Source organism: Homo sapiens, chromosome 7 (genome assembly GCF_000001405.40).
Source record: "Homo sapiens chromosome 7, GRCh38.p14 Primary Assembly".
In the NCBI taxonomy this organism is placed as follows: Eukaryota; Metazoa; Chordata; class Mammalia; order Primates; family Hominidae; genus Homo; species Homo sapiens.
The window spans coordinates 139,103,864-139,118,969 of record NC_000007.14 but is presented as its reverse complement, the minus strand read 5'-3'; the positions used below and the strand labels follow the sequence as shown (position 1 = coordinate 139,118,969).

Below are 15,106 nucleotides of genomic sequence, written 5' to 3'. Positions count from 1 at the left end.
TTCCCCAAAGCAAGGGATCCAAGAGAGAGCAAGGAGAAACCCACAGTGTGGTTTTATGACCTAGTCTTGAAGGTCACACTGTTATTTTGACAGTATCCTATTGATTACACAGATCTGTGCTGTTTAGTGTGGAAGGGTGCACAAAGTTACAAATACCTGCGGGTAAAACCCACTGGGAGCCAGCTGGTTACCACATCAGGCCATTGTCACCAAGTTAACCCCACCTCTGGATTTCTACATCCCCATTTTCTCTGCTCTCAGATATGTTACGGGAAGAGGGGTTGCAGCCTCATTTTAACACCACGAAAACAAAGTTTGTAAATAGTCCTCTGAGAGGAATATGGCCCTTTTCCAATTCTAAAAGTATACCTGCAATTCCTTCCCTTGCCAGTACAGTACTCCCGGAGGCACTTGCAGTGATGCAGGTTCGAGGTAGGGAAATCCCTGGTGCCTGCCCCCGACTGCAGCCTTCCTCCATTTGTCTGACCATTTGATTAATGCCTCTCTCGACTCCCATATCTCCTGTAGAACACCTGTTTGGCAGGGACTTCGGACATTCCAAATGTCCAAATTTGACTCAACTCTCTGATGTTTATGTACTTTTCATTTCTATGATTTAGCATAGCTGACTCATTACAGCATAGCTGACTCATTGCAGCCTGTGTGTTTTCTGCTTCCCTCTCTGATCGGTGCTTCAACAGGTTCATATGGCTCAATGTCACCCTAACATGCCCTAGCAACTTCAGCTTTGCACTCTCCTCAGATCTATTTCATTGAAACTTTCAAAAATACCCAGATCTTCTAGTAAAATAACAACAAACAATAATAATAATAAACAAAAACAAAAAAATAAAAACACGGGCAAGTATCAGTTGAACAAAAAAAATTCTCCCTCTCATTACCGGAACAATCTTTTCCCTCTCTTCTCCTCCCTTCCCATTCCCTTCCCTTCCCTGTCAATCCTCTAAAATGAATGTTCTATACTCAATTGTTTTATTTCTTTACTTCATACACTTTGACTTCCAACTTCAGCATTCTGAGAGAACTGGTCTGTCAAGTGAGCTGGAATAATATGAGATTGTATACAGGAGAATTTATTGACATAAGGGCACATCTCAGGATACGAGGTTGAGCATCCTGATAAGAACCAGGGGATGGTACAAAATTGCTGCTAGGTTGGCTCCCTGAATCCTGGAAAAGTGCTGATTCATGAAGAGTGAGTCTGAAGTGCCTAAATTGCTATGTCAGGCAGTAGAGGAAAGGATTAAAAGACTCAGAAAAGGGGACATGCTGAAATAGATGTAAGGTTAGGCCAGAACAGCCACCCGGGGATTATGTCCCATAGGATCGCTCAAGGAGCCATATTCATCAAGGCCATAGGGAACGCATTGGTGAGAGGGACAGCAACGTCGCTAATAAGTTCAGTGGTGCTTTCCCCAGTAGAACATAGTTGATGGAAGGAGGGGCTGTCCTGGAACTTGGCTCACTGATAGCAATGAAGATGATGGGCTCCTGATGCACTGGACACCAGAATGATGGCACTTAAGGGCGGAATGACAAAATCAGAGTGGCAGCTAACAGGACCTGACTTTTAGGGAGTTGTAGGGATTGTAAATAGCACACAGTTTCTCTAGGAAGAACATAGACGCGTGGGTAGTCAAAAAGTCCAAATGGCCCTCAACATATGATTTTTCTGCCTCACCATGGTGTGCATTCAGTAGAAACTGCACTTTGAATTTTGAACTTTGATCTCTTCCCAGGCTAGGGATATGCCATATGATACCCTCTTCTGATGCTGGGCAGTGGCAGCAAGCCACAGCTCCCAGTCAGCTACCTAATGACAAGAGTAAACAACGGATACTATACAGTGTAGTGAATTCAAAAATTACATGATGAGATATTCAGCACTTTGTTATGCACTAGGCTTTGTGTTTGATGATTTTGCTCAATTGTAGGCTAATGTAAGTGTTCTGAGCACATTTAATGTAGCTTAGGCTAAGCTATGATATTTGGTAGGTTAGGTGTATTAAATACATTTTTGGTGTTTTTTTTTTTTTTTTTTTTTTTTTTTGAGACAGAGTCTTGCTCCCAGGCTGGAGGGCAGTGGGGTGATCTAGGCTCACTGCAACCTCTGCCTCCTGGGTTCAAGCAATTCTCCTGCCTCAGCCTCCCAAATACCTGGGATTACAGGTGTGAGCCACCATGCCTGGCTAATTTTTGTATTTTTTTTTAGTAGAGGTGGGGTTTCATCATGTTGGCCAGGCTGGTCTTAAATTCCTTACCTCAAGTGATCTGCCTGCCTCAGCCTCCCAAAGTGCTGGGATTACAGGCATGAGCCACCGTGCCTGGCCTAAATACATTGTTTACTTACAGTATATTCAATGTATGATGGATTTGTTGGGACATAACCCCATTGGAAGTCAAGGAGCATCTGTCGTGCTTCACATGTATAATCTAAAATAAAAGAATTAATAAGCAGGACAATGAGGAAAACATTTCCTTGCCTGGTTTCCATTCCTGAACCAATGTTCAGACTCAGAACCCACTGAGTGAAGTGGTGGCCAAGTCACCAAGATGAAGGACCTGTAACACTGTGGCAAGAAAGTATTGTCACAGTTCCTCTGATTCTTCCCCTAAAGAGATCTACAATATTTATTCCAGTGATGGAACACGGGATGGGGGAATATGCAGACATTTTGGTGACTGTTGGGTACAAGGTCAGAGGTCAACTGATGCCCAGAGAACTGAAGCATTCTCATCGCTTCCATGTTAGAGTGGGAGCAAATGGAGTCCTGACTGAGTTCCAGCTTACAGTGGGTTCTCTGGGTCCATGAACCCACCAATCGTCCTTCTCCTAATCCCCAAATATATGGTTAGGATTGCCACACTTGGGAATTGGGCTAACTCTCACATTCATCCTGGTTTTGTAGAGTGGGAGCTATCACAGTAGGGAAGGCTAAGTGGAAGTATCTGAAACTGTCCCCCACCCCAGCCAATGTGGTAACTACAAAATAGCATTGCAGTCTAGGGTGAGGAGGATGGCAGATATTAGTGCCACTCTTAAATATCTAAAGGATGAAGAAGCATGGTCCCTGTCATGTTTCTGTTTAATTTGCCAGTGTGGACCCTGCAGCAATGGGATGGTTCCTAGAGAATGACTTCAGACTACCGCAAGGAAGTAGTAGCTCTGTACTGGATATAGCATCTTTGCCAGAGCAGATTTATGCAGTTTGAAGTGGTTTGAGGCCATTGATCTGGTGAATGCATTCTTTTCTATTGCAATCAAGAAAGAGGATCAGAAAGAGTTCATATTCATATGGAATGCATAGCAACAAGCCTTTACAGTTTTGCCACAGGGCTATGTTCCTTTTCAGTCCTCTGCCGTAATCTAGTCCAAAGAGAACTGGAGCATTTGGACATCTCACGTAACATCACATTGATCCATCACATCGAGGATGTCATGCTGCTCTAGCAGGATGAGAAAGAGGTGAAGAGCATGGTAGAGGCCTTGGTATGACACATGTGCTCCTGAGAGTGGGAAATAAATCCTACAAAGATACGGTGACCTGCCACTTCACTAACGATTTGAAAGGTCCAATGGTCACCAGTGTGCTGGGACATTCCTTCCAAGGCAAAAGAAAAATTGTTGCATCATTTATATTTATTGGAAAGAAGGAAGCACAAAGTCTGTTAGGAATCTTTGGGTTCTTGACAAAACACATTTCACACCTAAGAATACTGCTGCTGCGCATATACTGGGTTACACAGAGATTGCCAGCTTTGAGTGAGGCTCAGAACAGGAAAGAGCTCTCCAGGCTGTGACACAAGCAGCCCTTTTGAGTGGACTGTAAAATCTGGCACAGCTTCTCATGTTGGAGATGTCAGTGATGGAAAAAGATGTAGTATGGCATTTATGGTGAGTCCCAATAGAGGAATCACAATGCAGACTCCTTGGATAGTGTAACAAGGTCATGCCAACTGCAGTGAAGGATTACACTCCTTTCAGAAAACAGCTCCTACTTTCTACTGGGCCCTGGTGGAGACACCAAGTGATCATGGATTCAAAACTGGCTGCCATCAGCTACGTCCTGTTAGACACACCAAGTGATAAGGTCAGGGCGGGTCAGTATCAAAGCCATCATAGGATAAAACTGGTACATCTGGGACTGAACACAAGTGGGACCAGAGGGCACACGCACACTCAAGCTGCATGAGCAATTAGCCCAGATTTCCATGTCATTCACTACGGTTGCACCAGCACCCCTCCCCCAGCCTCACCTGTGGTCATGTGAGGGGGTCCCATATAACCAGCTAAAGGAGGAGGGAAAAAGACCAAGTTTGCGTTAAGGATGGGCTAGCTTAATATGTGGGTACAAGCTGAAAATGCATGGCAGCTATATTACAGTCTCACTCAGGGAAGTCCTTGAAAAACAGTGGTAAGGGAAAATCTCCCCAGCGGGAGGAGCTTTGAGAGTGTACCTAGTCATCACTTCGTATGGAAGGAGTATGGCCTAGGGTTAGAACATACATGGTCTCATGGGCAGTGATGGTGGCCTGGCTGGGAGTTTGGGAGCCTAAAAGTAAAAGGAAGCATATGAATAGATGTATGGAAGTGGGCAGTTCATATCACATTAAGACCCACAAAAGATGTGCCAACTACACAAAATAACTTGGCCAGTTAATGTTGGCCAGGCTTAGTGACAGGCCCCCTCCCCCACTGCTGCTCAAAGAGGCCATGGTGGCCAGGAGATGGAAGCGATGCAAGAACCTAACAGCATAGATTATCATTTGCCAAAATAAACACAGCTACTGCCACCTCTGAGTGTCTGATCTGCCAGCCATAAAGACCAATGCTAAGCTCTATTCCTTAAGGAGACCAATAGACTACTTGGGGACCAGTAGACTGCATCGGGCCCCTTTTGTCCTGGCAGAACCATCGGTGGTTCTCACAAGAAGAGGCAGTTATTCTGGATTTGGGGTTGCCCTTCCTCCCTGCAGAGCCTCAGTAGTAGCACTCTTTTTTTTTTTTTTTAGATGGAATTTCACTCTTGTTGCCCAGGCTGGAGTGCAATAGTGCGATCTCAGCTCACTGCAACCTCTGCCTTCTGGGTTCAAGCGATTATCCTGCCTCAGCCTCCCAAATAGCTGGGATTACAGGCGTGTGCTACCACACCCGGCTAATTTTGTATTATTAGTAGACACAGGGTTTCACCATGATGGTCAGGCTGGTCTGGAACTCCTGACCTCAAGTGATCCCCCTGCCTCAGCCTCCCAAAGTGATGAGATTACAGGCTTGAACCACCGTGCCCGGCCAGTAGCACCACTTTCTGGAGACTTAAAGATTGCCCGATCCACAGACATGGAATCACACTTAACATAGCATCTTATCAGGTGAATCTTTTCATGGCACAGAAAGTGGAGGGAATGAACCCATGAACATGGTACTATCCATGGTCCTATCATACACTTCACCACCCAGTAGCTATAGGATGAAGTATTGGAATGGCTAGTTAAAGATGGAGTCAAGCACCAGAATGGAGCTGATACCCTACAATGATGACACAGACTCCAGAACATCGTGGTATATGCCTTGAATCGGTCAAGTTAGTATGGTACTGTGTCCATACATGAGTCTGGAAAGAATGGGTAAGCCTGAGTGGCCCTACTTAGTATAATTCCAATGACCCCCTGCAATTTCCTCTCCCAGCAATGCTGGGCTCTGCAGAGTTATAGGTCTTGGTTCCCCAAAGGGGCACACTCTTGCCTGGAGATACCACAGAGATCCCACTGGACTACTGTGATGGCTGTCACCAGGTACTTTGGCCTCCTAATGGTCAGAGACTAGCAAGTAAGAAAGGGAATGGCCATCTTATTCGAGGTAACTGTTGCTGGTCAGCAGGAGGTGTGGCTGTTGTTACACAATGTGGGCAGGTGGAATATGTATGGAATTCTGGTGACCTATTTTGGTGTCTCTTGGTAATCCTTTGCCCAGCTGGGACTGAGATGTGCTCAGACCACTTTCAAATAGGGCACCCGACCAGATTAAGCTACTGAGAGCAGCTGAGGTGGTGGCCAAGGGTGAGAGGGATTGGAATGGATAGTGGTAGAGGGATATGATGAGGACCAGACCACCAGCTGTGGCCTTGAGACCAACTGCAGTGACAAGGACTATAGTTCATTCCACTAATTTCTCTCTGGTAAGCTTCCTTGTAGGAAGAGTGACCCTGAAAAGCCTGTTCCCTAAATACAAATGGATAAAGAAAGCCATGTAGTACAAAGGGTGGACTACAGCTGACACAGGGTGGCACTCAGGTCAAGCTTGCAGCCCAGCTTTGAGGAGCATGTTTAGCCAATATCCTCCAGCTTTAGCTCTTTCAAGATCTGCCCCAGCATTCGAGCTGAAGTCATCCACTTCTCTGGTGGCCCCCACCGGTGACTGAGCAAGGCAGTACAAGGGCCTAGCCTTTTCTGTCCAAAGCTGGACTCCTACTCCAGAGCTCCTCATTGGGCTGGCAGAGACTTTGTTAGGTCCGCACAAAAGTCTGATAGGCCCCATGGATCAATCATGCTTTTTCCTTTGACTTTTTCTGGCATTATGCCCCAGAAAAAGTGCAGAGAAAGTTCTGCACTCTTAACTCCATGTCAGGATCTCCTTCCTGGAGAACCCAATCTCTGATGGCACATATTTCAAAATTTTTCAAAATGTCTCCTTTTCCCTTCCCAGAACTCCTTAAATCACCTTTCTCTTTCACTTTCCCTTTCTTTTTTCCTTTCACTTTCCCTTCTTTTTTCCCCTTTTCCTTTTCCTTCCTTTTTTTCCTTTTCCTTCCTTTTCCCCTTTCCTTTCCCTTCTTTCCTTTCCCTTCCTTCCTTTCCTTTCTCTTCCTTTCCTTTCCCTTCCTTTCTTTCCTTTCCCTCCCTTTCCCTTTCCATTTCCCTTTCTCTTTCATTTTCACTTTCCCTTTCCCTTTCTCTGTCACTTTCCATTTCCGTTTCCCTTTCCCTTTCCCTCTCTTCCCTTTCCAAAAGGATCTTCCTCTGTTGCCTTTGCTGGAGTGCAGTGGCACAATTGTAGCTCACTGCAACCTTGAACTCCCGGGCTCAAGAAATCCTCCCGCCGCAGCCTCCCAAGTAGTTGGGACTACAGGCACATACCACTATGTCTGGCTAATTTTTATTTTTAGTGGAGATGAGGTCTCGCTATGTTGCCCAGGTGGATCTCACAGTATGTTGCCCAGGATGGTCATGATCCTCCCGCCTTGGCCTCCCAAAGTGTTGGGATTACAGGCACAAGCCACTGCACCTGGCCCTTAAATCATTTTTCATGGCTTCAAATTGGAGGAGATTCTATGTCTGTACTCCCAACCACTGTAGCCAAACTAGACTCTTCAGTCTCTCATCTTCTATATTCCCATTGTGGCATTTACCCATGAATTTGCTTATATTTCCATGCATTTTTTCATGTCTTCGCATACATGCTCCTTGAGTGCAGGGACTGTTTTTTAAACTTCTGCATGTCCTTACATTACTAACTAATGTAAATACCACATAGAAGATAGTCAATAAACATCTAGAACTTAGTTGATTTGATAATAAAAGGTCCCTGGGAACCTGTCAGACCACAAATAAGGCCAAGTGGATTAAAAGACAACTATAGAAGCAGCAACTAGAGGGAACAAGATGTCCCTCTTAGACATCCTAAGATGATCCTATGTGGCCCCCATGTTTGGCTGGTTTTCATAACAAAGTACTCTATTCCTGAAAGAGGGTTTATATACCATGAATGACAAAACTGAGGAGAATTCTCATTAATCATTTTGAAGAATTTCTAAGTTAGCAACCAGAATCTATTATTTTTTAAAAAGATGTATTTCTTATCTGATCAAATGACCCATCTATTTTATTTGAAGATGTTGGAAAAAAAAACCTTTTTTCTCTTCAACTTGTGTCCTGTCTTTGGGGGCCTAAAAATTAACTGGCACTAGACAGATAAATAGGAGAAAAGACAAAGTTTATTTACACATGCATGCAGGAGCTTCCAGTAACAGAAAACTCAAAAGTAAAGGTTTATATACCTCAACTTAACAAAAAGGAAAGTTTTAGGGCTTCAGTAGGAGAGTTTGGAAGTTTTGATTGGGTTGTTTTGTGTTTTTGAGACAAAGTCTCAGCGCTATCCCCCAGGCTGGAGTGCAGTGGCACAATCCCGGCTCGTTGCAGCCTCCTCCCGTGCTCAAGCAATCCTCCCACCTCAGGCTCCCGAGTAGCTGGGACTGCGGCTGCACACCACCATGCCCGGGTTGTTTTTATTATTATTATTATTATTATTATTATTATTATTATTATTATTATTGAAGAGAGCTCACTATGTTGCCCAGGCTAGTCTTGAACTCCTGGGTTCAAGCAATCCTCCCACTGCCTCGGCTTCCTAAAGCGCTGGGATTACGGGCTGAGCCACAGCACCCAGCCCATTGGGTTTTTTGGTGCTAATGGTAATGGGACAGTCTGTCTTCCTGGCAGCTGAATACTCCGAGAGGCTTTTAATGGCACCATGTTTTCGGGAGGTTTTGCTTTAGTCAGATAAGGGAAGTTTCATTAAGATTTCTTTCTACATCTTCTGTAGCTCAATGTTTTCACTTAAAAACAATCTTTATGTCAACTCTGGGGGTCAAAGTACGTCCCCACGGTGGAAAAGTTCTTGTCCCAATCTCTACGGGGAGGAACCGATCTGAAATCTTGGGATATGTCTTAGCATGTCCACCGTGATTGAGGTACAAGCAGTGGTTCAGGGCACCGAGTTAGCGATTCTAGGTAAGCAAGACCATGTCAAGAAGTGGTTTGTCCAAAAGTTCGTGAGAAGGCAGAAACGAGGGAGAGTGGCAATCGTTGTTCTTTAAGAGGGCACGGTGGTGGAGGAGAAACTTGCACATCGGGGCCTGGGGTACCACGATCTGGGGCCTGGGGACGCGATTTGGGGAAACTCGGTGGCATCTGGGCTCCGCTTGATGCCAGTGCGTGTTCGTGCAAGTTACTTCCTCAAGTTCAGGGTGAGGATAATAATATCTACCATGTGGAGTTGCTGGGAAGATTCACTACCAACAGAGGCAGAGCGCACGGCTCGCAGGAAGCGCTCGCTAGGGTCTGCTCTTTCCGGGAATGGGTGGGGTGCGCACTCCTCAACAGGGCTCTCAGGACTTGCGTCACACGCCTCAGTCGGCTGGCTTATAAAACACCGGCCAGAGCCCCAAGATCGCTTTTAGTTTCTCTTCTTTCTAAAGAAGGCTCGCGGAGCCCGGCTGGAGAACCTCACCCTCGCCGAGCCTAGAACCGAGAGGGGGCCACCCCAGGCGGTCACCAGCAGATTTGCCCGCGCGTTCTCTTTCTTTCCACCCAGTTGCCCTTGCGGCCGGCTGTAAACCTGCCACTAGGACCCGGTCGGTGAGATCTAGCCTCTTGACCTGAGAGCCGAGAGTGGATCGCTGGGCTGGGCTAACGGCGACGGAGAGCGCGCCCTCGCTGACTCCGGGCGCGCCCAGCAGTAGCACCGCCCGCGCCCGCCCCTGGACACTTGTAAGTTTCGATTTCCGATTTCCGCGGAACCGAGTCCCGCGCCGCGGCAGAGCCAGCACAGCCAGCGCGCCATGGCGGACCCGGAGGTGTGCTGCTTCATCACCAAAATCCTGTGCGCCCACGGGGGCCGCATGGCCCTGGACGCGCTGCTCCAGGAGATCGCGCTGTCTGAGCCGCAGCTCTGTGAGGTGCTGCAGGTGGCCGGGCCCGACCGCTTTGTGGTGTTGGAGACCGGCGGCGAGGCCGGGATCACCCGATCGGTGGTGGCCACCACTCGAGCCCGGGTCTGCCGTCGCAAGTACTGCCAGAGACCCTGCGATAACCTGCATCTCTGCAAACTCAACTTGCTGGGCCGGTGCAACTATTCGCAGTCCGAGCGGTGAGTGCACCCGGAGGGAGGGGCGCTGTCCGCAGCCGTGGTCGGGGTGGACTGTCCAGGCGGGCAATGTTCTGGGAGGGGCACGGCTTCGCCGGGACCCCGCACCTGACAGCCTCCGCCTCCAGCCACTCCCTTCTCTGCTCCCCTCTGGGAGCCTCTGCAGGGCCCGCGCTTCTACCTTTGCAGTTCCCTTCCTTCCGGCACCTCCAGACATTTTCTCGAGAATGGCTAAAATGCTAGTGCCTGGAGGAGACCAGGCTCAACCTCCACCCCTTTCCCCGCCCGCCCGCACGAATCAGAAGAATAAAGTGCTCTGGAGCCAGCCAGGGCCTAGAGAAGCGGTAGGCAGGTTTGGGAAGGAAGGAAAGAGCCTCCCGTCTTTGGTATCTTGAGTCTTTCCCTCCCTACTACCTCCTTCCCTAGACGTGGCGGAGCCAGTAACCCAGCCGCCCTGGGCCCCCGGTCCGTCTCCGCCGGAGCGAGCCGCAGGTCTCTCTGCTTGTCCCTCCCTTCCCGGTCACCCCCATGCCCCTCATCACCGCTTTTCTGATGCCTGGCGCGTAGCAGGGGTGGCCCTTTTCCAGGTTCCTGAAGTTGTAGCAGCCGCGGGCCTTCCCTCCGGGTGGTCTCTCTACGGTGGCGCGCGCAGTTGACCGCCTGCCTTGGGACAACTCTCTTAAATCCCTTTGAAGCAGTGTGGCTCACGTCTCGGGCCACTGCTTCTGTTGTTTCCGTTTGCCTTTTTTTTTTTTCGTCTAAATGCAGATGCGCTGCAAGGTTTGGGTTAAGACTCTTGAGTGATTTTCTTCCCAGTTTCTCCCTAAGAGAGCTTGCTCCCTCGAGGACAGCTGCACATCTAAAAAGATGGCTTCCAGGTCCACATTCGCTGCCCAGGCCTTTCCCTTGATCCCAAGCCCTTCCTCTCCCGCGTGTGTCCTGTCCATGGAGTCAAACTCATCTTTTCCCCCAGGCAGGGTTTTAATCCTCCTCACAATCTGTCATCACCAAGTCCTTTTTGTGAAGTCTCTTTCCCTTCTTGGCGGATTCTGCCTTCCCATCTAATTTCTGAATGAACTGAATGAACGCCTTGTTGAATTAATGAATGGCCAGTCTTTCCTCCCACCCTTTCTGTCACTATGTGCTCTGCTCAATTACTTTTCTCGATACAGTACTTTTTACACTTGGCCCATTCTTAAACACTTTGACTTGTGTCCCAGGGTTTAAAATGGTTGTCAGCAAACTTTTTAGGCTGGAGTGCAGTGGCTCCACCTCGGTTCACTGCAACCTCCACCTCCCAGGTTCAAGCGATTCTCCTGCCTCAGCCTCCCGAGTAGCTGGGATTACAGGCATGCACCATCGCACCCGGCCAATTTTTGTATTTTTAGTAGAGACAGGGTTTCACCATGTTGGCCAGGCTGGTCTCGAACTCCTGACCTCAGGTGATCCACTTGTCTCAGCCTCCCAAAGTGCTGGGATTACAGGCATAAGCCACCAAGTCCGACCAGTCGGCAAACTTTTGATCACGCACCTAACAAAAACTCCAGTCACTCACCCCCAATATACGTGTAATAAAACACACAAAGGTAAGTGTTTTAGATGGATGAGGTAGAGGACGCAATGTATTTTTTTAAAAATTTCTTTAGAGCAAAAACCCTTTCAGCTCACTCTAACGTTTTTAAAAAGTGCTTGAATGTGTTCCTTTATTTAAAATTTTCTTTAATATGTTGTGGGGCAACAATTTGAAGGTTGTTTCTGAGTTGCTGGGAGTTATGGGTATCGAGGAAATCATCTAAGTCATTGCTGGTCACTGAAGAAATCTCTGAGAAGGAGAAGAGAGCAGAGGGTGGAGGATAGAAAAGGAAGGAACATTCTAGCATGTTCTAGCACTACACCAAATAACATGGTTGGAAGGCTTTGTTATGTTTTTTCTGTTCTTATCTTTTCTATTATGACAAATTCTTCACCAACTAGTGTTGATTTTTAGTATGAAATACATATGCTTTTTATTTTTTTATTTCTTACTATGGATATTTTCAACATACTCAAAAGTAGAGAGAAAAAAATGATGAAGCCCCTTGTACCCATCATTTCAACAGTTTTGAAAATATGGCCAGTTTTGTTTCATTTATTCTCCCTATTCCCCATGTGTCCCCAACTCCAATGTGTTATTTTAAAGCAAATCTCAGCAACCATTTGATTACTAAGTACTTTAGTATCTCTAAAACATAAGAACTATGTTTTATTAACATAATACAGTACAATGATCACATTTTTGTAAAAAAAATTACAATTTTAATATCATCTATTGTCCAGTTGGTATTCAAATTTCCCTGATTGTCTTATAAATCCAACTTTTATTTTCAGGGAAAAGGATACATAGACATAATCCTTTTAAAAAAAGATTTTTTTAAAATTTTTTGAGATAGGGTCACCCAAGGCTGGAGTGCAGTGACCCGATCTCAGCTCACTGCAAACTCTGCCTCCCAGGTTCAAGCAATTCTACTGCCTCAGACTCCCAAGTAGCTGGGATTATAGGTGTGTGCCACCATGCTTGGCTAATTTTTTGTATTTTTAGTAGAGATGGGGTTTCGCGATGTTGGCCAGGCCGGTCTCGAACTCCTGAGCTCAAGCGATCTGCCGGCCTAGGCCTCCCAAAGTGCTGGGATTACAGGCCTGAGCCACTGCCTCACCTGGCCTATAATTGTTTTCATATGTTACATATCTAACATTTAAATACTTTGTTTCAATTTGTTGTAGGCAATATGCTTAGAAATTTTAGTTTTATGAAGTTTATTATGGTATATTTTTCCCTGGTTTGAAACAGCAAAACTGTTTTAAACTCGTTAATTGGGTTGTTAACCTCCACTTTTATAAGAATATATATAATATAGGGATTATTTGGTCTATCTAAATTTGGATGGACCCTCCAGAGAAGTCAATAAAGTTTATTTTTTTTAGTAGAGTGATAAAATCTTATTTCCTAACATTTATTGGCAGAGCCATATTTTTAATTTCATTTTATATCACTTTTGAATTTGGGAATTACAAACTTTTAATCTATTAATGTATAAAGTGTTGTAATAAGGACCTCTGGGAGAATTTTTTTTTTGTCCTCGGGTCCTAGAAAACATGTTTTTTTCCTCCCTACTTATGTTTTAAAAATATTCTCCTCTTAGCGAGTAATAAAACCTTGTCTTCCAAAACTTGCCACTTGTGAGTTTAAGAACTTTCTTTGTAGATTACCAGTTAATGGGGTCTGTTAACTAATTGATACCCATCTTGACATTACTATTCAGTTCACTAAACTGGTCTCTGTTTACAGGGGGACGATTTGCATTGTGCTGGGTGTATAAAATTTTGTCTGTGGTACTATTATTTATAGATAGGATTTATCCTGTCTATTCTGTAGTTCCTGTCTTTTCTTTTGCAATGTTTTTAGTGATACATTTTAGTTGACAACAGGGCTTGCTTCAATGTTGGATAATTGTTTTGGTGAATCGGTTTGGATATTTCTATTTGCTTTGCTGAAATATATGCCCACACATGGAGTTCTAATCCCACTTCTGATGCAAAAATAATCACTATTTATCGAACAAATAACTATGTGCCAACCACTATGATAAGCACTTTGGAGATGATATCCAGGTTAGTCTTTAGGATAGCTCCTAAGGTAGTATTTTAAGTCCCATCCTTATTGTAGGAAACTCGGGCATGGAGCCTTTCAGAAATCTACTGAAAGTAACATAACTAGAAGCTGGCAGGATTGGTATTTGAACCTAGATCTGCATGACTTCCTTTTTTTTTTCTTTAGAAATGAGATCTTGCTTTGTCACCCAGACTGAAGTGCAGTGGCACGGTCATAGCTCACTGCCACTTCGAATTCCTAGGCTCAGATGATCCTCCTCCCTCAGCCTCCTGAGTAGCTGGGACTACAGGTGGGCGCCACCATGTCCGGCTAACTTTTCTTTTCTTTTTTTTTTTTTTTTTTTTTGAGACAGAGTCTCACTCTGTCACCCAGGCTGGAGTGCAGTGGCGTGATCTCAGCTCGCTGCAACCTCCGCCTCCCCGGTTCAAGCGATTGTCCTGCCTCAGCCTCCCGAGTAGCTGGGATTACAAGCATGTGCCACCACACCCAGCTAATTTTTGTATTTTTTAGTAGAGATGGGATTTTGCCATTTTGCCTGGGCTGCTCTCAAACTCCTAGGCTTAAGCAATCTTCCCAGCCTCCCAAAGTGCAGGATTACAGGCATGAGCCACCGCTCCCGGCCTTGTTTGACTTTTTTTTTTTTTTTTTTTTTTTTTGTGACAGAGTCTCGCTCTGTTGCCAGGCTGGAGTGCAGTGGCGTGATCTCAGCTCGCTGCAACCTCCGCCTCCCCGGTTCAAGCGATTCTCCTGCCTCAGCCTCCCGCGTAGCTGGGACTACAGGCGCCTGCCACCACGCCTGGCTAATTTTTTTTCATTTTTGTATTTTAGTAGAGACGGGATTTCACTATGTTGCCCAGTCTGGTCTCCAACTCCTGAGCTCAGGCAATCCGCCCACCTCAGCCTCCCAAAGTGCTGGGATTACAGGCGTGAGCCACCGCGCCCGGCCTTGACTTCTTAACTAGCTACTTACATTGTCCAGTAACTATATGAAGTTATTAATTCAAAAATTTATTTTGCCTGCATGATTTCTGTTAACTGTTTCAAGCAGGCTGCCTAAGGGTCTTTACCTTGCTTTGCGGTTTTTGCCGATGTGGGTGTTTCCTCTGGGTTCTTTCCTGTTTGTATGTCTTTCCTTTTCGGTTAATTCACATTTTGGGTGGGGGTGGGTAGATGGGAAGAGGACTAGTTGACTGTTTCGCAAGTTGAATAGAATACTGAAAAACGCAAGCATCAGAGAATATTTATTCTGAACCCATAAAAGTTATAACTCACCTCCTGGGATAAATAAGTGTTCACATTTTTCAGTTTTGCTCCTCTTTTAAAATATACTAAACAATCATAACAGACCTAAGGTTATTTTTTTCTCATCCCCAGTCTCATTTCCCTTTCCTAAGAAGCAGCTTCAATCATGATTTTGGTGTGTATCTTGTCCTTCCATGATTTTATAATTTCCTCTTGTATATGTTTGCATCCATATACAAAATGTAGTATTTTATGTGTTTTAGAATTTTTAT

The 15,106-nt window shown here is 45.7% G+C and overlaps 1 protein-coding gene across 3 annotated transcripts in view, besides 8 other annotated features; it reads left to right on the top strand.

Moving 5' to 3' along the window:
• Window positions 120–209: an enhancer, noted in NCBI's record as "active region_26751". NCBI's record gives its function as "activates an Ori minimal core promoter by ATAC-STARR-seq in GM12878 lymphoblastoid cells {active_cell/tissue: GM12878}" and the evidence as "EXISTENCE:reporter gene assay evidence [ECO:0000049][PMID:35858748]".
• Window positions 350–679: an enhancer, noted in NCBI's record as "active region_26750". NCBI's record gives its function as "activates an Ori minimal core promoter by ATAC-STARR-seq in GM12878 lymphoblastoid cells {active_cell/tissue: GM12878}" and the evidence as "EXISTENCE:reporter gene assay evidence [ECO:0000049][PMID:35858748]".
• Window positions 750–809: an enhancer, noted in NCBI's record as "active region_26749". NCBI's record gives its function as "activates an Ori minimal core promoter by ATAC-STARR-seq in GM12878 lymphoblastoid cells {active_cell/tissue: GM12878}" and the evidence as "EXISTENCE:reporter gene assay evidence [ECO:0000049][PMID:35858748]".
• Window positions 9,094–9,597: an enhancer, noted in NCBI's record as "H3K27ac hESC enhancer chr7:138794119-138794622 (GRCh37/hg19 assembly coordinates)". NCBI's record gives its function as "activates a minimal SCP1, AML or CMV promoter by ChIP-STARR-seq in naive H9 embryonic stem cells {active_cell/tissue: H9 hESC(naive)}" and the evidence as "EXISTENCE:reporter gene assay evidence [ECO:0000049][PMID:30033119]".
• Window positions 9,094–9,641: a biological region, named in NCBI's record as "H3K27ac hESC enhancer GRCh37_chr7:138794119-138794622".
• Window positions 9,142–9,301: an enhancer, noted in NCBI's record as "active region_26748". NCBI's record gives its function as "activates an Ori minimal core promoter by ATAC-STARR-seq in GM12878 lymphoblastoid cells {active_cell/tissue: GM12878}" and the evidence as "EXISTENCE:reporter gene assay evidence [ECO:0000049][PMID:35858748]".
• ZC3HAV1 (zinc finger CCCH-type containing, antiviral 1) overlaps window positions 9,250–15,106 on the top strand; it is a 66,206-nt gene continuing 60,349 nt past the window's right edge. For all 3 annotated transcript variants that reach the window (NM_020119.4, NM_001363491.2, NM_024625.4), the window contains exon 1: window positions 9,250–9,946. In NM_020119.4, coding sequence (NP_064504.2) covers window positions 9,639–9,946 — 308 coding nt within the window. In that variant the 5' untranslated portion in view covers window positions 9,250–9,638. The remainder of the gene's footprint in view (window positions 9,947–15,106) is intronic.
• Window positions 9,542–9,641: an enhancer, noted in NCBI's record as "active region_26747". NCBI's record gives its function as "activates an Ori minimal core promoter by ATAC-STARR-seq in GM12878 lymphoblastoid cells {active_cell/tissue: GM12878}" and the evidence as "EXISTENCE:reporter gene assay evidence [ECO:0000049][PMID:35858748]".
• Window positions 10,222–10,351: an enhancer, noted in NCBI's record as "active region_26746". NCBI's record gives its function as "activates an Ori minimal core promoter by ATAC-STARR-seq in GM12878 lymphoblastoid cells {active_cell/tissue: GM12878}" and the evidence as "EXISTENCE:reporter gene assay evidence [ECO:0000049][PMID:35858748]".